Here is a 27,649-nt window from a genome sequence, read left to right as displayed (position 1 = left end):
ACCCGTATTCATAGCAGCATTATTCACAAAAGCCAAAAGGCAGAAGCAACCCAACTGTCTATTGACTGATGAATGGATGACAAACCTTGGATATACAGATAATGGAACATTATTTGTCCTTAAAAAGGAAAGAAATTCTGACATATCCTACAACATGCGTGAATCTTGAAGATATTATGCTAAGAGAAATAATCCAGTCATAAAAGGAAAAATACTGTATGATTCCACTGAGGTACCTGTGAGTCAAGTTCAGAGACAGAAAGTAGAGAAGGTGGTTGGTTGTCAGGGGAGCTAAGAGTATGAGGAGAATGGGGAGATATTATTTAATGGGTACAGTATTTCTGTTTGGGAGGATGAGAAAGTTCTGAAGATAGATGATGGTGATGGTTGCACAACACTATTAATATACTTAATACCATTGAACTGTATACTTAAAAATGGTTAAAATAGTAAATTTTATGTTATGTTCATTTTATCATTGTTTAAAAAAAATCCCTTAGCTAGAATCCTAAAAGTGCATTTACCTGCTTAGACAGGGCTAGTAAAACGAACATCGTTAGTTTACTCTTGTTTTTTTCTTCTCATTTGGAAGAATCTGTCATTCCCTCTGACTTCCCTGTCATAGAGATGATTGAGAATCAGAAAAGTTATAGTCAGATAAATGTTCCTCTATGTGTTAGTCTTTTTTTTTTTTTTTTTTTTTTTTTTTTTTGGTGAGACAAGAGTCTCACTAGGTGTGCAGGCTGGAGTGCAGTGGCATGATCTCAGCTCACTGCAACTTCCACTTCCTGGGTTCAAGTGATTCTCATGCCTCGGCCTCCCGAGTAGCTGGGATTACAGGCATGCACCACCACGCCCAGTTAATTTTAGTAGAGACAGTATTTCACCATGTTGGCCAGGCTGGTCTCAAACTCCTGGCCTCCAGCGATTCACCCGCCTCAGCGTCCCAAAGTGCTGAGATTACAGGCGTGAGCCACCGCTCCCGGCCTAAAATATTATTTTTGTGTTTTCCCTCAGCCTTATCAAGGTATAATTGACCATCTAGCCTGTCTGGATCCCTTTTTTGGCTAGAGTTTTTTCCTCCAGAACTCCTCTCATGTAAATTATTTATTAAATCAGAATGTTCTGAATATTGCTGCTCATATTTATAATGCAGGGTTTAATGTTCTAGTTTTGATATGTTCTTTTTTTAGAATTCAAATTTATTCTCTAAGGGAAAAAAAAATTTCTCCAAAGATGGTAGAATTGTCACTGTTGGCGGTTACCTAAACTACATCATCTTCTAAGCTGTTCAGAGATGAAAGGGCTTTTAGTCTTGCTCTGAATGTCAGTACAGTCATGTGACCCCCTTAAGAAGGCCTCTACCTTCTTGTGGCTATATTAGGAACTCTTATAGAATGTCTCCAAATGTTCCAGTCCTGTGTGAGTAAATGACAGGGAGGAAGAAGTGCCTTAGAGAAGAGCCAGCCTAAGTATCCCTCAGTGGTAAGTAGGGGGGAGGGACTTTTTAAATAGTTGCCAGAGACAGCACATCTTTGGGGAAAAAAATTATATGATGAGTAACTGGTGTTTCTATATTGTGAGTAACTGGTCTCAGAGGCACACTGTAATTGACCTATATTAGCTTGTTTAAATCAACTATAAAGTTGCTTCTAACCTTTCAGCCCTTTTAAATGTGGAGGAAAAGTGATCACTTAAACAAAAGTAATGATTTTGGGTTTTTTTGGTAACATGCTTTGGCCTCTCTTGTATAAGATGGCCTGAGAGGGTCCATACAGGATTATCAGAATGCTGAGATTTTTTTAACCCAAGGACATTACAGTTTTGAAGGCTAGTATAGCTCCACTGTAGATGCAGTAGGTGTTTATAAATCAAATGTTTTCTGTTCTTAAATCAGCGGAAGGTCCTGGGAAATCAGATGATGTCAGAAAAGAAAAAGAAGAACCCTACTCCAGAATCTGTGGCCATTGGTGAATTGAAGGGAACCAGCAAAGAAAATAGGAACTTAGTAAGACACTGTTCTTTGGACTGTCTGTCTGTCTGTATATATTTGTAGAAAAGAGGAAAATTGATATACTGTCATCTGTTTTACTGTGTTTCTTTGGGCCATTCAAATGGCTTTTTCTCAATCCTTTCATTTATGCTACCTTCTTTCTGTTGGTTTTCATTGACTCATTCAACAAACAAACACATTTTGAATTCAAGAATGATATCACTAGTCACAAGCAGATGAGTAGTACAGTACAGTAGCTCCTTAAACAAGTGCTGGAGGAAGCAATTAGTTCTTACTGGAAGATTCCACAGGTGACATTTGAGCCAGGCCTCCTAGGCTCTATATTACCTGTGGGGTGGTGGTTCAAGATATCCTAGGCATGCCTACTTCATTAAGCCAGCAGTAAATCAGTTAAGATTAATGAGATATAAATACATCAGTCTCAGAAAAACTCTTCACATTGAAATTGAACAAATAATTCATTTGTTAGTAAAGTCTGTCTATAGGAATGGCATTAGAACATTGAAACCACTGTACAATTTTCTTATTACAGTTATTTTCTGGCTCTCCAGCTGTCACGATGACACCAACAAGATTGAAGTGGTCTGAAGGGAAGAAAGAGGGGAAAAAAGGTACTAATTGTACTTACTCTCTGTTCTTACTAAATGTAATTCCTTTCTGCATCTAGTCAGTAGCATTTGTTTGAATTCCCAGGATAGTACATTTGTAGTCAGAAGTGACATAAAAATTACAAGGCCAGGTCCTTGCCCTTGAGTTCATTCACCAGATGGTTATTGAACCATTTACTCAGCATTGTCTTGGGTGCTAAGGGTAGAGCTGTGAACACAGACCCACATGGTCCCTGTGTTCTTGGACAGACAGGACACATGGGGGAAAATACCTTAAGAATACTTGCGAAGCAAATTAAAAACAAGTGTAAATGAATTTGTGAAACCAAGTTCAACAGTGCTGGGAGTATGCTTATGGAATAGTTAGGTTCCTTTTCTGTGTAGGCCAGCCCTAATTAGTGAAGCTTTCTAGATCAACAGCTCGTGCCTAAGGATCCTGGAAGTCATATCATACAGCATATTTTGGGGGCTATTTAGGACAAAGAGGACTATTTAATGCTGGGACTGCTGATTGTCCCAGGCTCTTCTGGTAAAAGCCTGCTGTGCCTTCCTCTGAAGGAGCCAAGTGGGTCAATGGAAAGACCGTGAGATTTGTGGTTAGTCCTGATGGGAGTTATCATTCCTCTGACCCAGGAAAACCACCCATTCTCTATGAATTCAAGTTTTCTCCTCTGAAAATGAGGATAAAAGTTACATCTACTTCACAGATTTATTAATTTATTATGAGGCTCAATTGAAATAATGTTTTGGCAGCACATTGTCATTGTTAAATCATTAACAAGTGGTTATAGTTGTTACTGTAGAAAACGGGCTGAAACCTGGTCTTGTTATATAAGGCTCATGTGGCAGCTGAAGTGAGTCTGGTTTGACATGATTGTTTTATCACTGGGATATGAGCATAATTACTATTTGAGACATCAGCAATAGGCAGAGATCAAAAGCCTAATCCTTATGGATAAATTCTTTTCTGGAAAATTAGATTTCAGTATATTCTTCTTACTTATCCTTGAATGAATTATCTAAACTCTCTTTTCTTTCCTCGTTGCTTCTGTCTTCCAGGCTGGGCTGTCTAATTGAGACAAGATGGGGGTTTGAGTTTTTTGTGTCTAAATATTTCTGTATGTCCATGAATCAAAACCAAGCATAAGTTATTTTTGAAGGCTACATTGTTTTGTATCAGTTACAACTTTTGTTGCTGTCATTTTTGAAAGACATGCGGAAATAATACCTTTCTGTATTGACAGCTCTACCTTGGAAAGAAAGAAAGACGTTTTTTAAAAACCAGTCTAATATTTCACCAATAAGCTTTAGAGCAGGGATTGTTGACCTTGTCATCTGTGGACTTCCTAAATGGTCTAATAAAGTTCCCGGTATTGTTGATGCAATCTTTTGTGTAGGTACATATGTGTATTTTTCTGGGGGAGAGAATATATGGTTCTAATTAGATTCTCAAAAATGTTAGTAGTTCAGAGAAGTCGAGATAATGAATGACCCTCAATTGGATCAGGCAATGGCATTTTCACTTTACTCTCTCCTGGTCACTTCCTCTATCTGGAAATGCCTTCCTGGTGTTATGATGCTACATTATTCTCGTTCTTCTTCCTCTTTAATTCTTTTCCTTATCTGCAGTGGCTTACTGTTGTTTGCCTATTCCACTACATCTTTATTTTTTTCAATGCTCTATCTTAAGTTCTGCTCTTAAGTTCTGTTCGTTTCTGCACCTGCTTCTCCTGCCTCTTTGCAGCTTGGTCTCCTTCCACTGCTCAGCTCTGCTCTCTGTATGATAACTACTTCCAGCCTGGCAATGCCAGGTCTGAACTCTCTTCAGACATTGGCAGTCTCCAAGCCCACAGATCCAGGTGCCTGCCATGTATTTCTTTTATACAACAATGAATATACAACCTCAGATTTTTTGATAGTGATGTTTATAATAAAAGTAACATATTCTTTGAAGAAGATAATGTAATTTTATTACTGTGATCAACAACATAATCCAAAAAGACTATTATTTAGTACAGGATTTCTCAACCTTGGCACACTACTGACATGTTGGTTCAGATAATGCTTTGTTGTAGGAGCTGCCATGTGCACTGTATGATGAGCAGCCTTCCTGGCCTTTACCCCATCGATGCTGGGAGCATCCTTCCCCCAGTTGTGATAAGTAAAAGTGCTTCTAGACATTGCCAAATGTCCCATGGTGGGTGAGGAGGCAAAGTCATCTCCACATGAGAACCACTGATTTAGCACCTACTTATTATGGCCATTATTTTCAGTAGTCAAAATCTTACCCATTCTTCAAAGTCTAGCCTAAATCTCACCTCCTCTTTGAAACTTTCTCTGGCTAACACAGCCAAATATAATACTTTTTCCTTTGAACTTATTAATGCTACAAAAATATTGACACTTAGTATGATTTACTGTATTTACTTCACATATTGTCTTATCTCTGTAACTAGTTTTTCTTCTAGAAGACAAAGGTCAGACTTAGTGTATTTGTGGCCTTCTGTCTCCTGTTCTTCTCATCTTCCGAAAAATGACAGTGCCTTGTGCTGAGTCGGCTTTTAGTAAACATTGAGTGTTGAGAGGGGCGGTGGTGGTAGGAGCATGAGTTCTGCATTCAGCTGGGCTTGGGTTCCATTCCCAGTTTTGCTGCTTAATAGCTTATATATTAGTCCTCGGGCAAATGAACTATGTAGGCTGCAGATTCTTACTCTGTAAAATGGTAGGAGTAGTACCTCATATACTGGTTATTGTGAGGATAAATAATGTACATAAATAACTTAGAGCAGCACAAAATATGTACTTACTGTTAGCTGTTACGGCCATTAAGATGATTTAATGAACGAGATTATATCAGGCAGATGTTTATTTGGTAGAGTCACACATTCTTAATTAAACTCATTAGCCTTCAGTTTGGAGAAAATATTAAGTGTAGACCCTGTAGCTTTTGAGTGGGATGTTTGCAAAAAGAAATATTTAAGAACATGTCTAACGCTCTTGTTTTTCCTTCAACCTAGGATTTCTCTGAAGGATCCAGAGTTGTCTCCTATGGTCCATGCAGAATTTTCTGTTTAGTGGGCAGGTGTTATTCCTGCCCACAGCAAAGCTTGGACTTGCAGCTTGCTTGCTGCATTTTGAATTGTCAAAGCCAACTAATACCGTGACCCGACTGATACCTCTAACCCCACTCACTGGATGATGTTTGCAAGCTGTGCCTTCTGAGAGAGTGCTTAGGCCCTGTCTCTCTTTTTTAATATTATGGGGAAACCACTAACTATCCAACCAGCTTATACAGCACACTAAGGTGGGCTTCAGTGCTCACTCAATGTGTTTAGGCAGATTCCACTTTTGAAAAAAAATATGAAATGTGTGCTCAACTGCCAGTAATTTTTTAAAAAGCACTGTCCCAGTGGATTGATGTTGTTTTTAATGGATATTTTGGGTTTTTCTCTGTTTTGATAGTATTGGGTATTTGGTTGTTTTTGTTTGTTTATTTCTTTGTTTTAAAAGCCATGTTTTTGGTTGGGCTCTAAGCTAGATATCTTTCCCTCTTTTTCACTTTGAGCTTTGGGAAAACTCTTTATCTTATGAGGCTGTATTCCTCAATACCTAATTTGTGTCCAAAGAATTTATAGCTTTTCTGGACATTTTTTATTATTTCTTGGGTGTGACATCAGAGTATTTGACCTGCAGTATTGAAAAAGGAGAATTCAGAATGATACAGTATTTTAACAAATCTTAATTATTAAACTCTTTTCCTTCCTTCCATTTCTCCCTCCCTTGTCCATCTCTCTCTCTCTTTCCCTTTCCTCAGTGATGTGAAAATAATTGTGTTTTGCTGAACTTGTTATCTTCATTCAATTTCCTCTTGACTAAAACATCTCTGGTGCCAACGTAATACTTCTGAACCAAATCACTGTGACTCAAGGAAAGTCACTGACAGCATAAGAGAAGTTTGCTAAAATATTTGTATGTGGGGGAAGCTCTGGAGTGTGCCTAGGAGGGGGCTGGCTGCCTTTATGTCCCAGGATGACTCTTTATGGGTGGGATTACATTGCACCCTCTGAGGGTGCAGGCTAGACCGTCTCCTGAGAGGAAGTTAGGATCAGAAAGAAGAAGCAAGCAGCAACCTCTGCAGGGCTGACAGGATTTAAAGGAGAGAATGTTCTTATTTGGAAGCAGCTGTGGCTTGTCACCAATGTTCAAGGAGTGTTACTGTTCCGCCCTCTCTTTGTCAGAAGGGACACAGGTGGTAATTTGGAGATGGGGCCAGAGCTTCTGGCTTTTGGATTTGGTGTGTTCACTTGTGTTGGATAGAGCAGTGGCATGGCTTTGACCTAGTATGAACTGGTGTCTGCCCAGAGAGCAGCATGTAGCAGGGGGGAATGCTCAGGTTTGTGCCTGGCTCTGTGGAGCTGTACAACCCTTCTCACCCTGTGGGTTGGAGCCGAGTCAGGCCACTATGGGGAAGCAGTTGCCCCACAAAATGTGGTTTGCTGACCTATTTCTAAACTGTTGAATATGCTGCACCATTGCTGAAATGAAAGATGACTCTGGGGGAGCAGAGCTTGGCCTTGTGCCCAGCTGGCAGCCCCCTCTGCCAGCCTTTCTGCTGCTTTTGCTGCTGTAACAGCAATAGTGGAGAAAAATGTAAAATTTGGTCTTCCAGCTTAATGCAGTGTGAACAATAGATGGTTAGGAAAACAAAACTGCTTAGAAGCCCCTTTCTCTAGAGCAGTTTTATGTCATTTGTAAAAACACATATTAGCAAATTCGTTTGCGTAGGTTTCTATTAAATATTTGACTTTTTTTTTCTTATTAAGAAAATGAAATCCCTTACACCAGATATCAGTTAATTCAAACAGAAAACCCTTTGGGTATCACCAAATTGAAATGGTATTCTTCCTTAACTCTTCCTTCTTTCCTTTATTTGTTTAGACGTGCTTCATCCCGAAGTGGTGCTATGGTCTGTTAAACAGGGCTGGCATCAGGTAGAGGGAGCAGAGTGGTGACCTGATAGCTCCTGTCATCGTGTTAGTTTTTGATTCTATTTAAGGGAAGTAGCTGAGATTTAGACGGATGTAGATGCTCTTTGGGTGAATGGAATCATAAGCAAAGGTTGTGTTCTGGGGTGAGGATCATGAGAGAGATATTTATCACATGCACATGCCTTTATATAGCTGGTCTCCTTGGGTGGTTTATGTGTGTTTTGTTTATTTATTGAATATGTTTTCCCTTGCTTTAGGGGTTTTATAGGTCATTTTTCTTAATAGAAGCTGTGATCGACTTAGAATCCAAATTTGAGGAGTAAGCAGCATAACCTTCTACCTTGTAATATGTAACTATTCTAATCCAGTGGAATCTTACGGAAAACACAGAGAAAACCCCTTTTATCATTTGCCACAGAAGGCTGCTGTCTCCCTTCTGATTTGGTGGGCAGGTATTGTTTTTGAGCCAGTATTTAACAGAGTTTTTTAATCTATAAGATTTTTTTTGAATCTATTTCATTGTGTTTGTTTTTCATGTTGGAACAATCTCTCTGGAAGTGCCTCTTCTTGTGGCTTTTACAACTTCATTTCTTTCTGGGGTCACCTGTGATGGGCTTTGATGTGGTGTCAATTTGGGGCCTTGTGTTTGTGCCAGAGGGATACACATATTAAACTGCAGGCCACCTTCCTGGTCCAGACTGTACTGTGTGAACCCCACTGACTAAATTAGTGAGAACCATAGGCGTTGGAATTTCTCACCTTTTACAATGATAGACTTTTGCATTGGGACCAATGAATCTGGTGTGAAAAACCCTGCTGTAGTAGTGAAAGAGCATCAGGAGATACTGACTGTACCTGAGGGCCAAAACAGGAGCAGGTAACGAACCGTAAAAAAAGGAGCAGGTAATGAATCGTAACCAAAACTACAGTTGATCCTCCGCAAAGGAAAGCTCTTTACCCAGAATGTCCTTCCAGAGTCATTCAGGAAGGACAAGGGAACACCCTTGGGAAATGGGCTAGTGGAGGGCTGTTGACTGCAGTGACACCTGGGTGCTCCGGAGGTATCTGTTCTGTTGACCTGTAAGGAAGCAGTCGATCCTAGAGTGTCAGAACAGAGCCATTCTCTCCTCCTGAGTAGGAACGTTTCTGTTCAGTTTCCCTCACAGCAGCCTGTGTTAGCATGCAGTTGAAAATACTGCCGTCTAGGAGAACCTGTGGTCACTGGGAACGTGCCCCACAGTGACTGGCCATGCAACCAGGTGATTTTTAGGAATAGATGTCTCTAGACTCTGTCTCCTTTCCTACAAGGCCTCACACAGATGCTTGAGGCTAATGGCCCCCATTCTGAGGTCATTTTTGTGTAGAACTCCTTTCCCCAGGAGAGAGCCTTATCTCTGCCCTCCTTTACCCTGAAGGCTTCAAACGGAAGACAGGACCTAGATCTAAACCTAGATACTAGCATTTTGTGGGATTGTCTAGAATTTGGGGAAGATTTGGGTTCCTAAGATGCACAAGCGTTTTACACCAGTGGTGATTAACTCAACTAAAACCCACTGTAGGAAGTTAGCTTCCCCAGACAGCTAATGCCGAGATCTTCTACCAGCGTAGAGTTGACAGAAGCAGGCCAGCGAGGAGGTGTGGGACATAATAGCCTGAGTGCTTGGGTTACCATGGAGACTGGAGTGTGTGAGGCCACAGCCTGTGCTAAAGAGCCATGGAGCCCTCCCCTGGCCATGTCTGGGGACAGATAGAACCTGTTGGGGGAAATATTCCCTCACCCCAGGGTTCTTTCTGCAGAGCAAGGGTTGCCTTTGTCCTATCCCTGAGCTTGCTCAACAAGAGAAACAAGGTTTCTTAAGTGTTTTGGTTAAAGTTTTCATTCTTATTTGACTATGTATATGTAATTGTAAAGAAACGATCCTATGCATTGTCTTTCTTTTATATTCTTGTAATATTCTGAAATTAAAATTGTTTTGTTTCATATCCAGAGGATTTGACTGGTCTATTCACATTTTGACTGTTGATGTTGAAGAGAGAGTTTTTCTCTTGTTCTGAGGAAAGTGAAGCCTCTAGAAAGGCTCCTCTTTGGCTTGTTTTTAGGTGGGTGGGTGGGTTCAGGAGGAGCGGGGCTTTTGGCTGATAAGAAGTATGATTTGGAGCCTCTGGGATCCTGAGCTTCCTAATTTCCCATGGCTGAGTCTAGAATGCTTCACATAGATTTCAGTTTCTCACATAATTTTTATTTCTTCATTTAAAAACAAGGAGTGATGGTTACAATAACAGGAAAACCTAGATGAAGTTTTCATCTGAGGCAGGAAGGTGTGTTTAGACAGCTCATGTTGAAATGTTCCTGCTGCTGTCTTGGTGGGCTTGGGCTGCTTTAACAGAACACCATAGACTAGGTGGCTTCTCAACATCAAAAATGTGCTTCTTACAGTTCTGCAGTCTGGGGAGTCCAAGAGCATGGTGCCAGCAGATTGGGTGTCTGCTGAGGGTGCACTCCCTGGTTCACAGACAGCCGTCTTCACTGTAACCTCACATGGTGGAAGGGACAAGGGATCTCTCTGGGGCCTCTTTTAGAGGAGCACTAATCCTATTCATGGGGGCCCTGCCAAAGACACTCCCAAAGACCCCTCCTACCAAAGACCCTACCTCCTAATATCATCACATTGGAGATTAGGTTTCAAAGTTAATTTGTGGGAATACAAACATTTAGTCTATAGCAGCTATTTTTTTTTTTTTTTCGAGACAGCATCTTACTCTGTCACCCAGGCTAGAGTGTAGTGGTGCGATCTTGGCTCACTGCAGCCTCCACCTCCCAGTCTCCGGTGATCCTCCCACCTCAGCCTCCCAAGTGGCTAGGGCTACAGCTGTGTGCCACCACACCCAGCTAATTTTTGTATTTTTTGTAGAGACGGGGTTTCACCATCTTGGCCAGGCTGGTCTTGAACTCCTGTACTCAAGTGATATGCCCGCCTCAGCCTCCCAAAGTGCTGGGATTACAGGCGTGAGCCACTGTGCCCAGCCTATGGCTGCAATTTATTAGGTATGTGACTTTGGGTAAGTCCCTGAATCTCCTGTCCCCTCATCTGTAAGGTGGGGAGAACGGTATACATCTCAATAACAAGGACTTCGCATGGAGGATTTTAATCTAAGGTCTGTGGTTATGCTTCAGGACAATAGTTTGCCCCTGTAATTCTATGTAAAATTTTATGTACATTTGCATTTTTCTAGGGGAGAGATTTCATAGCTTCTACGAGAATCTCAGAGGAATCCTTGACGATTAAAATACTGAGAATCACTAGCTTTACACAGTGCTGGCAGATGGCAATTATTCATTAAAGGTTAATTCTCTTTCTCTCTGCCAAGGGTAAATTTTATAATCAGCAGGTTATTGATGCTGACATAGCTACTTTGATGACAAAGATGTTGTTTAAATCCTGAATAGAAATAAACACTCTACAGTTGTCTTTACTCTGTTACCTACCCACACACTCCTCTTTTGCCATGTTAGCTTCTGAGGCGCTATTCAGAACTACTTGTCCCTCTCTCCCCAGCCCCCAAGGGCCAGCTTGTATTACTCACTGTGAAGAAAGGAACCAGGTCCTTCAAAATGAAGCATGGAGAGACTCTTAAAGTTACATGTGGGAAACTGGGTGATGCCAAGAAAAGGGAGTGGCGGGGGCAAGAGGGACATTTTGAAAAACAGGAAGAGGACCAAAATGCTGAGTACGGTACTGAGCACATAATCATTAATCACTGAATTGTAGAAAGGACTGAAGAGGTAGACATGCATTAAATAGTGGAAAGGGGCCGGGCACAGTGGCTCACAACTGTAATCCCAGCACTTTGGGAGGCTGAGGCAGGTGGGTCATCTGAGGTCAGGAGTTCGAGACCAGCCTGACCAACATGGTGAAACCCCATTTCTACTAAAAATACAAAAATTAGACGGGTGTGGTGGCATACACCTGTAATCCCAGCTACTTGGGAGGCTGAGGCAGGAGAGTCACTTGAACCCAGGAGGCGGAGGTTGCAGTGAGCTGAGATCGCGCCACTGCACTCCAGCCTGGGTAAAGACTCTGTCTCAAAAAAAACAAAAACAAAACAAAACAAAAAACGTGAAAAGGAAAGATAGAAAAACAGAAACGTGTAAAGAGTTTTCCTCTCAGTCCCCGTTCCTGGCAGGCTAGTTCCATTAGCTTTGCCTGCTATGTGGGCTGCCCACTTTTTGTTCCTACCTGTATTCCTGATTTTGAGGGGTTCAGGGAATGGGAATGGTGAAGACTGCTGAACCCCAGGCCAGAGGGTATGGTGTAGAGGACGTCATGCTTGCTGAGATGCTTCAAGGCCCAGCCTCTTGATTTTCACTATAAAAAAAAAAAAAAAAAAGGAAGAAAAATTGAAGTTGAGCAATGACCAAGTCTTGGTTCAAATTGATCATTAATATCTAATCCTTTATCATCAGCATCCAGTGCCCAGAACCTGAGTGTTCTATCCTAGAATCGGGATTAGGGTGAGTAGCTGGGGCCACTGGTGTCATGCTAGCTCTCCTCTTTTATTCTCAGAAATAGGTTGTTTTTATTTTCAATGCCTTAGTATTGAGGAGTGCTTATTTCAATTGAACCATATCTGTGGGCAAAAGAGAAAAGAAACAGGCTGTCTAAAAATCATGAGCCCAAGGGGCAAAGAAACCAAAAAAGTGGGGCCAGTGGGCTAGAAAAGAGCTGTAATTCAAACTAACAAGGTACACAGTTGACCCTCGAACAGTGCTGGGGTTAGAGGCACCAACCCCCATACAGTCGAAAAATCCACATATAACTTTTGGCTTCCCCAAAACTTAACTACTAATAGCCCTATGGATAACATAAAGTCAATTAACACATGCTTTGTATGTTACATGTATTTCATATAGTATTCTTATAATAAAGTAAGTTAGAGAAAAGAAAGTGTTAAGAAAATCCTAAGGAAGGGAAAAATAAATTTACTATTCATTAAGTGGAAGTGGATCATCATAAAGGCCTTCATCCTCATCATCTTCACATTGAGTAGGTTGAGGAGGAAGAGGAGGGGTTGGTCTTGCTATCTCAGGAGTGGCAGAGATGGAAGAAAATCTGCTTGTAAGTGGACCTGTGGAGTTCAAACCCATGTTTTTCAACTGTACATGGTCCAGGGCATGCATATATATATATATATATATATATATATATATATATATATATACACACACACACACACACACACACACACACACACACACACACACACATATATACACACACACACCGACCTTGGGGGAAATGTCAGTTTTCCACATGGACACAGCTGGGGCTCTCTTGACTCATGGCAATTGCAAATTTAAGGTTGCAGTTGAGGCTAGGCACCATGGCTCACACCTGTAAACCCAGCACTTTGGGAGGCTGAGGCAGGCAGATCACTTGAGCTCAGGAGTTCGAGACCAACCTGGGCAACAAGGTGAAGCCCTGTCTCTACTAAAAATACACACACACACACACACACACACACACACACAATAGCTGGGCGTGGTGGTGTGTGCCTGTGGTGCTAGCTACCCAGGAGGCTGAGGTGGAAGGGTCACTTGGGCCCAGCAGGTGGAGGCTGCAGTGAGCCAAGATCATGCCACTGCACTCCAGCCTGGCTGACAGAGTGAGACCTTGTCTTAAAAAAAAAAAAAAAAAAAAAGGTTGCAGTTGAGATCAGCTCAGAGGGGAAAATTAAAGCCCTCAAAGGAAAAATGTGAATATGATATACATGGATATATTCTAAACATTATATCTAATTATAAAGAATGAATCACAAAATTAAGCATCTTAAATATAGGCATGAAAAAATAACCCTCAACCAGGAAGCTGCAGCTCTGTCAGATTGCATCATTTGAGAACCAAGAAAAGCAAGTTAGCATACTAAGCATGAGAGAAGCAGAGGTTATTCCTCTGATGCAGTTAAATATTACTCATTTCCTTCCTTCCCTCCTTTCATTCTTTTTTTTTTAGAGATGGGGATCTCAATATGTTACCCAGGCTGGAGACAGGAGTTCAGTGGTTATTCGGTGGCTAGTTCAGGTTCTGTGATCACACCCGTGAATAGCCACTTCTGGGCTCAAGTGATCCTCCCTTAGTCCCCTGAGTAGCTGGGACTACAGGCACACACCACCATGCCCAGCAATATTCTGTTTATTTTTATAGCTGTGTTAAGGGAGATCCTTACATGAGCAGAAGATTCTATCCAGGGAACTGAAACTGTTGCAGTGGAAACACTATCCTTTTTAGAAAGTGGCATTCTTTGGAAGATATATCCAACCTCAATCTCTCCCATTGGGATTGTGTTGTATTTGATGAGCTAGGAAGTTTCAACCTAAAAGCAAACATCAGTTCCATTAAAAAAAACTCATTTGTGTTTTATTTGCTCTCAGCTCAATTAAAAAAAAACTAAGAATTATTTACTAGTCATTCTCTACATAATCACATTTCTTAGTCTCACAGTAGAAGCTTCTAGAAATAAGAGGCTGTGGTCTCATTCAACTAAGTTCCACTGGTTCACTTGAAGGGCTGAACATAATAGTTCAGACCCACATGACATTCACAGTGGATGGTGAAAATGGGTTTGATGGTTGGTGCCAGAGGAAGGAAACCACACCAGGAACCACAGCCGTGGAGTCTGGATTCAGTTACTCTGTCTACATGTGAATGTATGAGAACTGTAAGTATTAGGTTGGTGCAAAAGTATGTGGCATTTTAATGGCAAAAGCCACAATTACTTTTGCACCGACCTATTACATAATCTTGCTAAGTTTCAACGTATCTGTAAAATACAGATATTGACAACCACTCTACTTCTCCATATAATGTACTCTGAAATCCAGACAAGATCATGTATTAAAAAGAGCTTTATAAATTGTAAATCCCTGTGGAGTGTGTACATGTGTACATGTGGCAAATAACCTAAGAAAGTTCTCAAAAACCAGTATAGCTTTTCACCCCATTTGAAGTTGTTAACATCCTAGAGTCTATTGTGTGTCCAGCCTGAATGAAAAGACATTTCTTGACACTAAAAAATTAATGAAAATTGTGAGCCCAGAAGCCATTCCTCAGCACTCATGTTCAGAAGTGGGGATCGCTGATGGGAGCCCCTTCTGCCCACGTACTTCCCTTTTTCCAGCAGGGCCTCTAAGGAGTTCAAATTTCTTGTGAATGAAAAACTAATTTATTGAGTACTTACTATCTACTGAGCTCTGTGCTAGCCAATTAATTCATTGTTTCATTAAACTCATACATCTCTGTGAGGTATTGTATTTGTCTGTTTTCACACTGCTATCAAGAACCACCTGAGACTGGGTAATTTATAAGGAAAGGAGGTTTAATTGAATCTCAGTTCTGCATGGCTGGGAAGGCCTCAGGAAACACAATTATGGTGGAAGGCGAAGGGGAAGCAAGGCATGTCTTACATGGCAGCAGAAGGGGGCCAGGGGACTGCCACACACTTTTAAACCATCAGATCTTGGCTGGGTGCAGTGGCTTATGCCTATAATCCCAGCACTCTGGGAGGCTAAGGTGGGCGGATCATGTGTGGCCAGAGTTTGAGACCAGCTGGGCCAACATGGTGAAACTCTGTCTCTACTAAAAATACAAAAATTATTCAGGCGTGGTGGCACATGCCTGTAATCCCAGCTACTCTGGAGGCTGAGGCACGAGAATCACTTGAGCTTGGGAGGTGGAGGTTGCAGTGAGCTAAGATCACGCCGCTGCACCCCAGCCTGGGCAACAGGGTGAGACTCTATCTCAAAAAAAAAAAAAAAAAAAAAGATCAGATCTTGTGAGAACTCTCTCACTATCAGGAGAACAGCATGGGGGAAACCACTCCCAAGATCCAATCACCTCCCACCGTGTCCTGCCCCTGACCTGTGGGGATTACAATTCGACATAAGATTTGGGTGGGACACAAAGCCAAACCATATCAGGTACTGTTATCTCCAATTGTATAGAAGACACATATGAATAGTTTGATAACTTATGTTGTCAGTTACAAAGAAACGTAGCTGACAAAGTGGCCAACCTAACATCCAGGGCTGCTGGACTCCCAGGACTATGGTGTTAGGCAGGGGTTACAAAACCCAATATCTATAGGAGCCAGGAAGGTCATGTAAGGTAATGAGAACCACAAGTGCTTCAAGATATTTAAGAACGCCATGGAAGCCAAACCCGACCCCTCTGCAGCCTGCATTTGGCCCAGGAGCCCAGCTGGCATCCTCTGCATGGCGCTGGGCTGCTCGGCTCCTGACTGCTTGCTGATCTGCACAGGACACTCCCAGAGCCTCTCAGTGGTGGCTCCCAGAGGACAGCAAGAAGCGCGCCTTCCGGGAAGAGGATAAATGGCATTCGGACGCAGGAGGGCATCCACTCACTTACCTCCGCCAACACTCCCCACGCCCTGCAGGAACTGCTTAGGGAGGGTCTGTCCTCATTTCTCTGCTCTTCTGCATGCCCTGCCTAATGCGTTCGTCTCTGGCCACAGGTGCATATTAAGCACTGGAAACGTGGCCCATCTGAACTGAGATGTGCTGTGCGAAATAACAGAATTCAAAGATGTAGGAAGAAAAAAGGAATATAAAAATATCTCGATAATTTTTTACACTGATGACATGTTGAAATGAGATTTTGAATATGTTGGGTTAATAAAATGTATCATTAAAATGAATTCTACCTGTTTCTTTTAACCTTTTTAATGTGGCTAACTAGAAAATATAAAATTACACATGTGGCCCATGTTATATAGTGATTGTCCCAGAACCTCTGGGCCTCTAATCCTATGCTGTCCTTTCTCCCCAACAACCTACTCCACCAGAACCTTGGCCACATCTTTTTTCCTTTAGTTAGTCCTTAGTCCACTCTGGGGAGGAGAAGCAGGGAGAGCTGGTCAGAGGACAGGACAAACACTAAAAATGTCACCCCACCCCCGTGAGCTACTGCCCTGGGCATACAGACCCACTAAGTCTTTCTGCTCAGGTTAGAGGCCTTGGGCCAGGGCCTTCTGCCTCTCTGATGAAGAGCCATGGGGATTTAATGGACATCTAATGACCCAGTGATCCAGGCTTTAATAAGTACTTTGATGTAACCAAAATTGGCCATTAATGAGAGGTCTTATATTGTAGCCCCTTCTTAAACACCCGCCGTATGTGCTTTGTGACATGACCTAGGAAGAGGAGAATGGAGAGGAGAGACATGGCCTTCTTTCTTGTCTCTGCTTCCCTCTTCCATGGGAGCATGAAAACCTACTCTTTCCACATGGGGAGGAATATAGAACCATCTGGTGTGGAGGAAAAGGGGATATATTTAGTCTGAAGCAAATCTTTAGCAGAGACATAGAATCAAAGACGGTCATTGCTATTTGGGACCTTAGAGACAATGGATCCCAATGGTTTCAGATAGGTTTATGCAGTGCCGCCAGGGTTACTGTGAGGAGGGGAAGGGGGTCAGAAGGACAGCACCTGATTCTCCGCATCCTCTTCAGCCAGGGAGCTCCCTTTTACCTGGTTTAGAGTAAGATTTTGTTTAAATAAGTGGCTTGAAAATCATTGAACTAGCCCACAAACCATGTGTTAGAGAAACAGTTTCAGAAAGATGGCGACTTAGGCCCAGTTGATGCATTAGTGAGGGGCAGTGTGGGGGACTTGAGTCTATCTCTTTTTAAATTAACTCTATTAAGCATATAGTTTGATACATTTTTTTTTTTGAGACTGAGTCTCACTCTGCCGCCCAAGCTGGAGTGTAGTGGCGCAATCTCGGCTCACTGCAGCCTCCTCGCCTCCTGGTTTCAAGTGATTCTCGTACCTCAGCCTCCCAAGTAGGTGGGATTACAGGCAAGCGCCACCATGCCCAGCTAATTTTTGCATTTTTAGTAGAGATGGGGATTTCACCATATTGGCAAGGCTGGTCTCGAACTCCTGACCTCTAGTGATCTGCCCGCCGTGGCCTCCCAAAGTGCTGGGATTACAGGTATGAACCATTGCGCCCGGCCAGTTCGATAAGTTTTGACAAACATATACGTCTCTGTAACCACCACCCCAATTAAGATGTACATTTCCGTCAGTCCAGAAAGTTCTCTCATGCCACTTTGCAGTCAGTTCCCCATGCCCCTGCCCCAGGCTGCCAGTGATTTCATTTCTGTCACTGGAGATGGCTTTTGTTATTAAACCCCTGCTAACTCACAGTTGGTGTGCTGACCATGCCTCCCACTCTGGCTGACCCTGTGTTTCCAGGTGTTCTGATGTGGACAAAGGAGGATGCTTGTGACATGTTTCTGGGAGCAATAGCAGGAATAAGAAGACTGGTTCTGGCTTATGGGAATCTGAGTTCCTTGAAGGCCAGAGCTGTTCTTTATATTCTGTTTCCACACTACCTAGTGCAATGCCTGGCACATACGAGGCCTTTGGTGAGGGTGGGAAAGTAAGGTGGAAGGGTGGGTGGGCGGAGGCCCGGAAAGATGTGTACGGGAGGTCCAGGGACACTTCCTGGAGCTGTTACTTAGAGACGAGTTACATAAGGACGGGGGCTTGGGGCGCTGTGGGGCAGAGGTGGATGTTTTGAGGGCCCAGAGTTCATTCATTCCGTGTGTATTTATTTAGCTGGTGATGTTTCACAGGGAGTCGTCAGGGATGTCAGAGTCTTGGGTGGGGGGTTGATGGAAGGGAGGTGCTGGATGGTCCAGGAAGGTAGGGCTGTCAAGAGTCGGGGCTGCAGATGAGAGGAGGAGGGAAATGGAAGCCCTGAGGGGTAGACAGGAAAGGGTAGGATAGAGTGTGTTGTGAGAGAGTCAGGCTACACTGCAGGCATCGTTTCCCCAAAATGACTTCTAGACAGTACTTTGGATAAACAGGTGTTTTGTTTTTTTTTTTTTTTTTTTTTAAAGACAGAGTCTTGCTCTATCCCCCAGGCTGGAGTGCAGTGGCACGATCTTGGCTCACTGCAACCTCTGCCTCCTGGGTTCAAGTGATTCTCATGCCTCAGCCTCCCAAGTAGCTGAGATTATAGGCACAACTTGTTGCCCAGGCTGGAGTGCAATGGCACGATCTTGGCTCACCGCAACTTCTGCCTCCTGGGTTCAAGCGATTCTCCTGCCTCAGCTCCCGAGTAGCTGGGATTACAGGCATGTGCCACTACGCCAGGCTAATTTTGTATTTTTAGTAGAGACAGGTTTCTCCATGTTGGTCAGGCTGTTCTCAAACTCCTGACCTCAGGTGATCCGCCCACCTCAGCCTCCCAAAGTGCTGGGATTACAGGTGTGAGGCACCGCGCCCAGCTGCTAATTTTTATATTTTTAGTAGAGACGGGGTTTCATCATGTTGGCCAGGCTGGTCTCAAGCTCTTGACTTCAGGTGATCCACTCGCCTCGGCCTCCCAAAGTGCTGGGATTACAGGTGTGAGCCACCATGCCTGGTGATGAACAGTCTTTAATAGTGTTTAATATGTGATAGAAAAATATAACTTATATGTTAAGTCTGAATTTCTAGATTCTTTAGGACCAGGCTAAAGTGTATATTTGGGGTTGTTTTGTTTTGTTTTTTAGAGACAAAGTCTCTGTCATCCATCCAGGCTAGAGTGCAGTGGTGCCATCATAGCTCACTGCAGCCCCTAACTCCTGGGCTCAAGCAATCCTCCTGCCTCAGCCTTCTGAGTAGCCGCGATTACAGGCACACACCACAGTGCACAGCTAATTTTAAAATTTTTTTTTAGAAATGGGGTCTTGGTATGTTGCCCAGGCTGGTCTCATATTCCTGGCTTCAAGTAATCCTCTTGCCTTGCTCTCCCAAAATGCTGGGATTACAGGCATGAGCCACTGTGCCCACCTAAAGTGTGTATTTGAATTTGTATCAAATTTAAAATGTTGAGGAAGAAATAGAAAAGTGGCCTGCATATGTGATAAAATTACTGAAAGTTTGCTAAAGTTTGGTGAAGATTACCATGGGCGAAATGGTGAAGGGGAAGATGACAGGGTAGTTTTAGGCACAGGAGTTCCTCCACAACCGAATAGGGGCTCCACTGACGGAGGGGGTGGGAGGGGAGCAGAGGGGAGAGCAAAGGAAGCTGTGTTTTTGTTTTGTTTTGTGTTTTTCTTTTTGAGACGGAGTCTTGCTCTGTTGCCCAGGCTGGAGTGCAGTGGCGCGATCTCGACTCACTGCAAACTCTGCCCCCCGGGTTCACGCCATTCTCCTGCCTCAGCCTCCCGAGTAGCTGGGACTACAGGCATCCGCCGCCACGCCCGGCTAATTTTTTTGTATTTTTAATAGAGACGGGGTTTCACCATGTTGGCCAGGATGGTCTCGATCTCCTGACCTCGTGATTCACCCACCTCAGCCTCCCAAAGTGCTGGGATTACAGGCGTGAGCCACCGCGCCCGGCGGCTGTGAGGGCTGATAGGGCACTGGTTCTCAAACTGACCAGGCAGCCAAGTCACCTAGAAGTCTTTCTGAAGCATGGCCGGGCCTTACCCCTGGAGTCTCTGATGCAGGTCTGAGGCCCAGGAACTTGCATTTCTCATTGGTTCCCAGCTGATGCTGATACTGTTGGTCCAGCATGACACAGAACCACTGATGCAGAGGTGGCAGTGGGTGTGCGGTTTGTGCCCTGTGGTGGGTGTGGATACAGGGAGGCCGCCCACTGCGGGAAGTGGAGGGGCTGGTGTGGCTGGGAAGACCCCCAGGCAGAAAGGTGGGATTGGGCCTTGGCCCACAGGATGAGAGCAAGCTCACGAGCTGGCGCCTGGTGCTGTGCACACAGTGGGCGCCGAGGCGGGCAGGGGCCCAGGAGGGCGGCAGCTGGAGCTGGTCCTCCACAATTAGGAGGGCTGATTGCCTGGGCCACACACCTGCAGCATAGTGCCAAAGGGGAAAAAGGGAAATAAATCCAGACCCTCTGAGAGTGCCCCCAGGAGGCTGCCTACTCTAGTTTTTCTGCCATTTTGATTAGCTCTGACAGAAAGGAAACCAATTTCTCCTGAGCGTAAATGTCTTAGGCATTTGTATGCCTTATCGCATTTAATCATCATAGTCTCGTGATGTCGGTATCACCCATCCATTTTTAAGGATGAGGGAACTAAGGCCTTGAGAAGTGAAGGAACTTGCTCGTTGTGATCTAGGTGGACCTAGGATGCAATAGCCTTGGGGCTGACTTGTCTGATTAAACCTTCCCGAGGCTTCCCTCACCCCCAATATTATCATTTGAATGTGTAATCAATAGAAAACCAATATGTAATCAGTATAATCCATTGTTAAAGAGCTACTTTACATTATTTTTCATACTAAGTCTTAGAGATTCAGTATGCATGTTACACCTTCAGCCCATCTCAATTCGGATGAGTCGCATTTCAAGCGCTCCATAGCCCTGTGCCCCCTACTCCTGTGGGACAAGAGCTGCCCGCAGGGATGAGAATGTCCAGCCACACGTGCCTGTAATCACCATTTCTACCACTAGATGGCGCAGGTGAGCTTCCCTGGTTCAATGCATCAAGTGTTAAGAGACGGGGTTGGTGGGGACTTAAATTTCTCTGTCTTTGATTTATTTGTTTAAATTTTAATCATTCTGCCAGAAGTGAGCTTGAAAGATTCCAAGCCACTACATACTTACCCTAGAAAAATCACAGGTAGTTGGGTCTGTGTGTGTCTGGGTACAACTGTAGAACGGAGTACTCCAAGTTAACGTCCATGTAGAATACAATGTTTATTAAAAGATAAATAATTTTAAAATTGCTAATTTAAAGCTTACACGTACATTATGAAAACCTAATAGTAACTGTAGTAATTATTTAGAACTCAGGCAAAACAAGGATTTTTTTTTTTTTGGATGAGTATTTTCTTACTGGCATTGTTTAGAACAGCAGGTGTATTGTGATAACAAAAAGGAGACCAACTATTAGTTAATTATTTAAAAACTTCTTCAGAGACAAATGACTCTTTTTTTTTTTTTTTTTTGAGACGGAGCTTGGCTCTGTTGCCCAGGCTGGAGTGCAGTGGCACGATCTTGGCTCGCTGCAACCTCCGTCTCCTGGGTTCAAATGATTCTCCTGCCTCAGCCTCCCGAGTAGCTGGGACTACAGGCACACACCACCACGCCCGGCTAATTTTTGTATTTTTAGTAGAGACGGAGTTTCACCATGTTGGCCAGGCTGGTCTCGAACTCCTGACTTCAGGTGATCTGCCCGCCTTGGCCTCCCGAAGTGCTGGGATTACACATGTGAGCCACTGCACCCGGCTGACAAATGACTTGTGTTCTGCACCCAAGGGGAACTGATTCCACAACGTACCCCCTCATCACCCCCTAGCCTTGGTCCACCATTGGTCCTCGCCATCCTGGAGCTTCCATTCTGTTTCAAGGATGAGGAATCTGAGCCTAGAGAAGCACAGTGTCCCCACTTCTGTCACATGGGTGCTAGCGGCAAACCTGGACTAGAAGTCAGGTACCCCAGACTCCCTGCCCAGTGCTCTTTTCACTGGGTCATTCTGTTTTAGCAGTGGTGGCCATGGCAGCCATTTCTGTTTCTCATGTCTCTAAACCCTAAGCCTGAGACAGTGACCAAGGGCCCAACCCCTGCTATGTCATTTATAGTCTGAGCATAGGGCTGGGACCAGAGGAGGCCCCCAGCAAATTGTTGAGTGAATGTTGAAAGGAAGGAAAGAAAATGCCCTCCAGACATTTCAGAAGCTCATCATTCCTGGAGGTGGGGGGACCTCAGCCAGCCATCTGGTGGCAGACTAACTACATTGGACCCCTTCCACCATAGAGGGGACATCAATTTTGTCCTCACTGGAACAGACTCTTATTCTAGATATGGATTTGCCATCTCTTCCCAAAATACTTCTGCCAGTGCAACCATCTGTGTCCATGGAATACCTCATTCACTGTCATGGAATTCTACATAATATAGCTTCTGTCTTGCTCTGTCGCCCAGGCCGGAGTGCAGTGGCACGATCTTGGCTCACTGCAACAACCTCCACCTCCCGGGTTCAAGAGATTCTCCTGCCTCAGCCTCCTGAGTGACTGGGATTACAGGCACCCGCCACCACACCAGGCTGATTTTGTATTTTTAGTAGAGATGGGGATTCACCATGTTGGCCAGGCTGGTCTCAAACTTTTGACCTCAAGCAATCCACCCGCCTTGGCCTCCCAAAGTGCTGGGATTACAGGCATGAGCCACCGCGCCCAGCTGTCTTTTTACTTTCTTATTGTGGCTCCAGAAAATGTTGAATTACCTATGATATCTGAATAGCTAGTATATGTATATGGCACCAGATTCAAAAGGTATGAAAGGATATTGAGACTCACAAAATGGAAGAAAATATTTGCAACTTATATATCTGACAAGGGAGTAGTGTCTAGGATATATAAAGAATTTTTTTTTTTTTGAGACAGGGTCTTGCTCTGTTTCCCAGGCTGTTGTGCAGTGATGTGATCACAGCTCACTGCAGCCTCAACCTCCTGGGCTCAAGCAATCCTCCCACCTCAGCCTCCCCATTAGCTGGCACTACAGATGTGTACCACCATACCTAGCTAATTTTTTGTAGAGATGGGATCTCGCTGTCTTATCCAGGCTGGTCTCACGTTCCTGGGCTCATGGGCTCAAGCCATCCTCCTGACTTAGCCTCCCAAAGTGTTGGGATTACAGGCATGAGCCACTGAGCTTGGCCAAGAATTCTTACAACTCAACAATAAAAAAAAACAAATAACCCAATTTAAAAATGGGCAAGGATATGAATAGACATTACTTCAAATAAGACGTACAAATGTCCAGTAAGTGTATGAAAAGATGTTCTGCTGCTTGAATCCAAAGAGTGTTAGTTCATGTCCTGTCCAGGAGATGATTTCCCCCACCTTGACTTTCCCCAGTGTCATTCAAGCCCCAGCTTTTAAGATCCCGCCCCCTAGAAGCCTTCTCTCTCCAGGCAGAGCTCTTGGCTCCACTAGCTGAATTCCCACAGCAGCATGAACGCATCTCTTCTGGAGCCCTGGTCACGTTGCACAGTGTTTATGTGACTGCTTTTCTTAGAGATGGTGAGCTCCTGCAGGGAAGGGATCAGTTCCTATTCACCCTTGCATCTCCCTGGCTTAGCAGGGTGCCTGGAACACAGCAAAGACTCAGTGTCTGGCTGGCTGGCTTGCAGGAAGGACAGCTGTCTCTATTTTTAATTTTTTTAGAGATAGGTTCTCACCTGGGCTGGAGTGCAGTGGTGCGATGACAGCTCACTACAACCTTGAACTCCCAGGGCTCAGGCGATCCTCCCACCTCAGCCTTCTGAGTAGCTGGGACCACAGGCACGTACCACCATGCCTGGTTGCCGCCTCTATTCTGGACTGAGAGTAGGAGACTGTAGCAGGAAGTCAAACCTGATTAGGTAAAGACCACGGCTCAGAAAGGTTAGGGAACTGCGCAGAGAGTTCTGGAACTGTGGCTGCCTCCATCTTACTAGAAAGATGAAACTGCTTTCTGAACCTGAAAACTCACCTATCTGGCTTGTAGATCTTTTAATATTCTAGGTTCCTGACTGAATGGGACGCCCATGAGTCACTGTAGGGGGGGCACAGGTCTGAGGAGAGGCAAGGCAGTGAGTCCCTAGGTTTCAGCTCAAACAGAAACCCTTTGAGCTCTGAAGGGGCATGTGCTTGCCATAGGAGGGAGCACCTGCTGGTCCTTCCCTCTCTGGCTCTGGTGGGTTGTTTCTGGAAACCCTTGGGTCCTAAGGAAACCCTTTCTCAGTCTGCCCCATTGGCTGAGGGCAGATGTGGGAGATGAAGGATGGGCAGGGGCCCTGCTCCATGAACCCGCACTTGGCCCGCCCTGGGGAGCCAGCAGGGTGCTCTGTGAACCCACACTTGGCCCACCCTGGGGAGCCGGCAGGGTACTCCATGAACCGGTACTGGGCCCACCCTGGGGAGCTGGCAGGGGTTGCTGGGCTCACCACCTCCTGTCTCTACAACCCCCAATCGCTGGCCGCTCACAAGTGGCCATTGGATGTGTGAGAGAGATTTCCACAGAAAGTGTTTCTGTGGCTGCCTCATTTTAATTAAGTGAACCTGGAATTTAAGGGTTAGCTCCTCGGTTTTGGGGTGAGCCTCTTGTAGAAATCCATCTCTTGTAACTCCCAGTGTTGGCAAGTGTGTAGTGAGATGGGGACCCTCACACCTGCTTGGGGTCGGCGGGGGGCTTTTCTGGGTAGTTTGGCAATAAATATCAAGCCTCAGACATTTCCCCTTGTGTTATCATTTATTTTTTAGGTGTGATAATGCGGTTATGTTAAAAACAGTCCTTTTGTTGTAGAGATACATACTGAAATATCCATGGGTGAACTACACAGCAAACAAATCTGGGATTTGTTTCGGCATCATACATTTGGGGTAAGGAGCGTGGGTGGGGTATAGCTGAGAAAAGCTTGGCTGTGGGTCAGCTGTTGTGGATGCTGCTGGATGAGGGGTTCAGGAGTTCATGGTACTGTTCTGTCTACATTTATTTATTTTTTAAAATTCCATAATAAAAAAGTTCAATTAAAAAGTCCCCTTTGACTTGGCATTTCTACTGTGATGACATCAGTCCAAACCCCCAGCATCACTCACCAGGCTTCCCTGTTTTCATTCCCATCCCTCCTCGGTTCAGGGGGATCATGCCCCATCTGCATCTCCACTCACAGCCCTGGGATCCCTAGGGCCCACCTGCCCCCAGGCTTCCAGATCCCAGAGCCTGTGGGTGCTCTCTGGCCTCAGCATCAGGGACACTCTCCCTCCACCCCCAAACCCCTCACCTGGATGGTGACTACTCATTCATCTGATGTCAGGTTGGTGTCATCTCAGGGGAGCTGCTGACTCCCAGGCAAAGTCACACTTCTCTAATACTCTCCATCCTTCATGGATGGGTCCTTCATAGCTCTCACTATAATTTGTAACTATAAACTCTTTTTTTAATTAATTATTTTTTTGAGACAGGGTCTCACTCTGTTGAGGCTGGAGTGCAGTGGCATGAACACAGCTTACTGCAGCTTGGCCTCCCAGGCTCAAGTGATCCTCCCACCTCATCCTCCCAAGTAGCTGGGACTACAGGCACATGACACCACGCCCGGCTAATTTTTGTATTTTTAGTAGAGAGGGTGTTTCATTATGTTTCCCAGGCTGGTCTTGAATTCTGGGCTCAAGCGATCCGATTGCCTCAGCATCCCAAAGTGCTGGGATTATAGGAATGAGCCACCACACCCTGCCCTGATAAGCTCTTGTGATTGCTTTTGTTTCATTGCAGTCTGCCTCCTGTACTAGACTGTGAACTCTCTGAGGGCAGAGACTATGTCCGTGTGGCTTACCACTGCATCCCAGAGCCACACACAGAGCCTGGCACATAGTAAATTAATGCAGAAGGGGACACGTGTTTGACAAACATGTATCATGTTCCAGGCAAACTCTGTGCATATAGTTGGCTGGCTGAGAACATACAGTTGGAAATGTTAGGCAAGGGCCACATCACAAGGGCCTTGTGGCAACATTAGGGGACTGGCCGGATGGTGCAGATCCAGGGAGCCATTGAAGGTGCTCAAATGGAGGAGTGGCATGTGCTCCAGGCAGCCCCTCTGGCTGTCTCATGTTGGAAGGGAGACCCTGGAGGCCGGGTAGCCAGATGGGCTGGCACTGGGGTCCCATGGGGGCTTGAGCTCAGGCCAGGGCAGTGGTGATGGGGGCGGGAACGGAGCCAGTGTTTGTGGCAGTGATCCGATGTGGCAGCTTCTTGGCCCTTCTTCCCTGAAGAAACAGTGCCTCTGCACAAGAGAGGTGGGTAGGAGCTGTATAGGGCCCTGCTGGGGACAGAGTATGTTCCACAGACACATCCCTGGATCACAAAGAGGTTTGCAAACGGTCACTAGGAAGTGATTATACAGCACGGTGCCTTGGGGCAGGGGTAGGGGCAGGACCCTTGTCCCTGAGGCTAGGGAGTTGAGGCTCATGATGGCAGAGCCTGGCAATGGTGAAAGGCAAGTCACTTGTTCGGCAGTGCATTTTAGGGTTCCATGCAGAGCCAGCCGAAGGAGCTTGGGAGACCCTGGAACCTGAGAAGCCACTGGGGCCTCTGCAGGCCTCCTGGTTGGGTCTTCAGCTGGAGCCCAGGAAAGGCTGCTCCCAATAAGTGGCGATGTCATCAGCTGGGTGTGTGCCGCCCACCAGCATTGCGCTTCCCTGGGACCTGCTGTACCGCTGCTGTCCCAACGCATGTGCCACACTTGCTGTCTGTCCCCTAGGAAGCTTGTAATTGGCTGCAGGGCAGCCAAGTCACTCAGCTCCTCTCCCTGTGGGAAGTGGCTGTGGGGAGGCCAGAGGGTTGGGAGGATGCCGAGTAAAAACTATATGATAGCTACATAGACTGAAAGCTAAGTCGTGCCAAGCCCAGTGTTGGGCTCTTTAAATGTTACTCATTTGACCTGAGCTAGGTCTCCTTTCCCTCTCTCCAGTGGAACTCTGTACTTTTAAAACACTTCTCACAGTTGTAATAGAGAGAATCGTTCATGTGTTTATTTATGTAACATCTGTCTTTCTCGCTAGACTATTAACTCCACGAGGGCAGCGATTGGGTCTCTGTCCTCTACTGTAGCTTCAACACCTAACACACTGCCTGGCACAGAATTGGCTGCAATAAGTATTCATTAAATCAATGAATGATCCCCCCAAAAACCCAATGAAGTAGGTACGATTATTATTATCCTTGTTTAAGGATGGGCAAACTGAGTCTTAGAGAGCTTGAATAGTCCAAGCCACAGACCAGGAAGTAGCACCCAGAATTCAGACTCACATGATTAGCCCAAGGCAGGGGTATGTGGCCCAAGGTTGGCCAATAAAACTCGAGCTGGGGAAAGTGAGACTGCTGTCCTTTTTGTCCCTTGGCTATTGGGATGTGAGACTAGGGTTGCTGGTGGCCATACTTCTAGCCTAGTGGGGCAGCTGGCCTGAGAGTATGGAGCATGCAATGATGGGAGAGAGACAGAGAGCTGGCGGGAGAGAGAGAGA

At 44.9% G+C, this 27,649-nt stretch overlaps 1 protein-coding gene and 2 long non-coding RNA genes across 6 annotated transcripts in view; 2 read left to right on the top strand and 1 right to left on the bottom strand.

Moving 5' to 3' along the window:
• The window catches only part of ARHGAP19 (Rho GTPase activating protein 19), a 70,459-nt gene extending 60,866 nt beyond the window's left edge, over positions 1-9,593 (top strand). For all 3 annotated transcript variants that reach the window (NM_001204300.2, NM_032900.6, NM_001256423.2), the window contains 3 exons: positions 1,898-2,008; positions 2,547-2,625; positions 5,640-9,593. In NM_001204300.2, coding sequence (NP_001191229.1) covers positions 1,898-2,008; positions 2,547-2,625; positions 5,640-5,650 — 201 coding nt within the window. In that variant the 3' untranslated portion in view covers positions 5,651-9,593. The remainder of the gene's footprint in view (positions 1-1,897; positions 2,009-2,546; positions 2,626-5,639) is intronic.
• ARHGAP19-SLIT1 (ARHGAP19-SLIT1 readthrough (NMD candidate)) overlaps positions 1-27,649 on the top strand; it is a 139,632-nt gene that overhangs the window by 60,902 nt on the left and 51,081 nt on the right. Inside the window, exons 10-11 of the long non-coding RNA NR_037909.1 lie at positions 1,898-2,008; positions 2,547-2,625. This is a non-coding gene — a long non-coding RNA (ARHGAP19-SLIT1 readthrough (NMD candidate)). The remainder of the gene's footprint in view (positions 1-1,897; positions 2,009-2,546; positions 2,626-27,649) is intronic.
• Positions 534-12,799, bottom strand: LOC105378447 (uncharacterized). 2 transcript variants are annotated; one of them, XR_946226.3, is made up of 3 exons: positions 12,596-12,799; positions 11,849-11,977; positions 534-616 (listed from the first exon to the last, which is right to left on the bottom strand). It is a non-coding gene; the product is annotated as an uncharacterized LOC105378447 (long non-coding RNA). The 2 variants fall into 2 exon arrangements; XR_007062257.1 differs by lacking the exon at positions 534-616 and adding an exon at positions 10,057-10,144.

This window comes from Homo sapiens, chromosome 10, assembly GCF_000001405.40.
Source record: "Homo sapiens chromosome 10, GRCh38.p14 Primary Assembly".
Lineage (NCBI taxonomy): Eukaryota > Metazoa > Chordata > Mammalia > Primates > Hominidae > Homo > Homo sapiens.
Note: the sequence above shows the minus strand (reverse complement) of the source record. Positions and strands in the feature narration are given on the sequence as shown.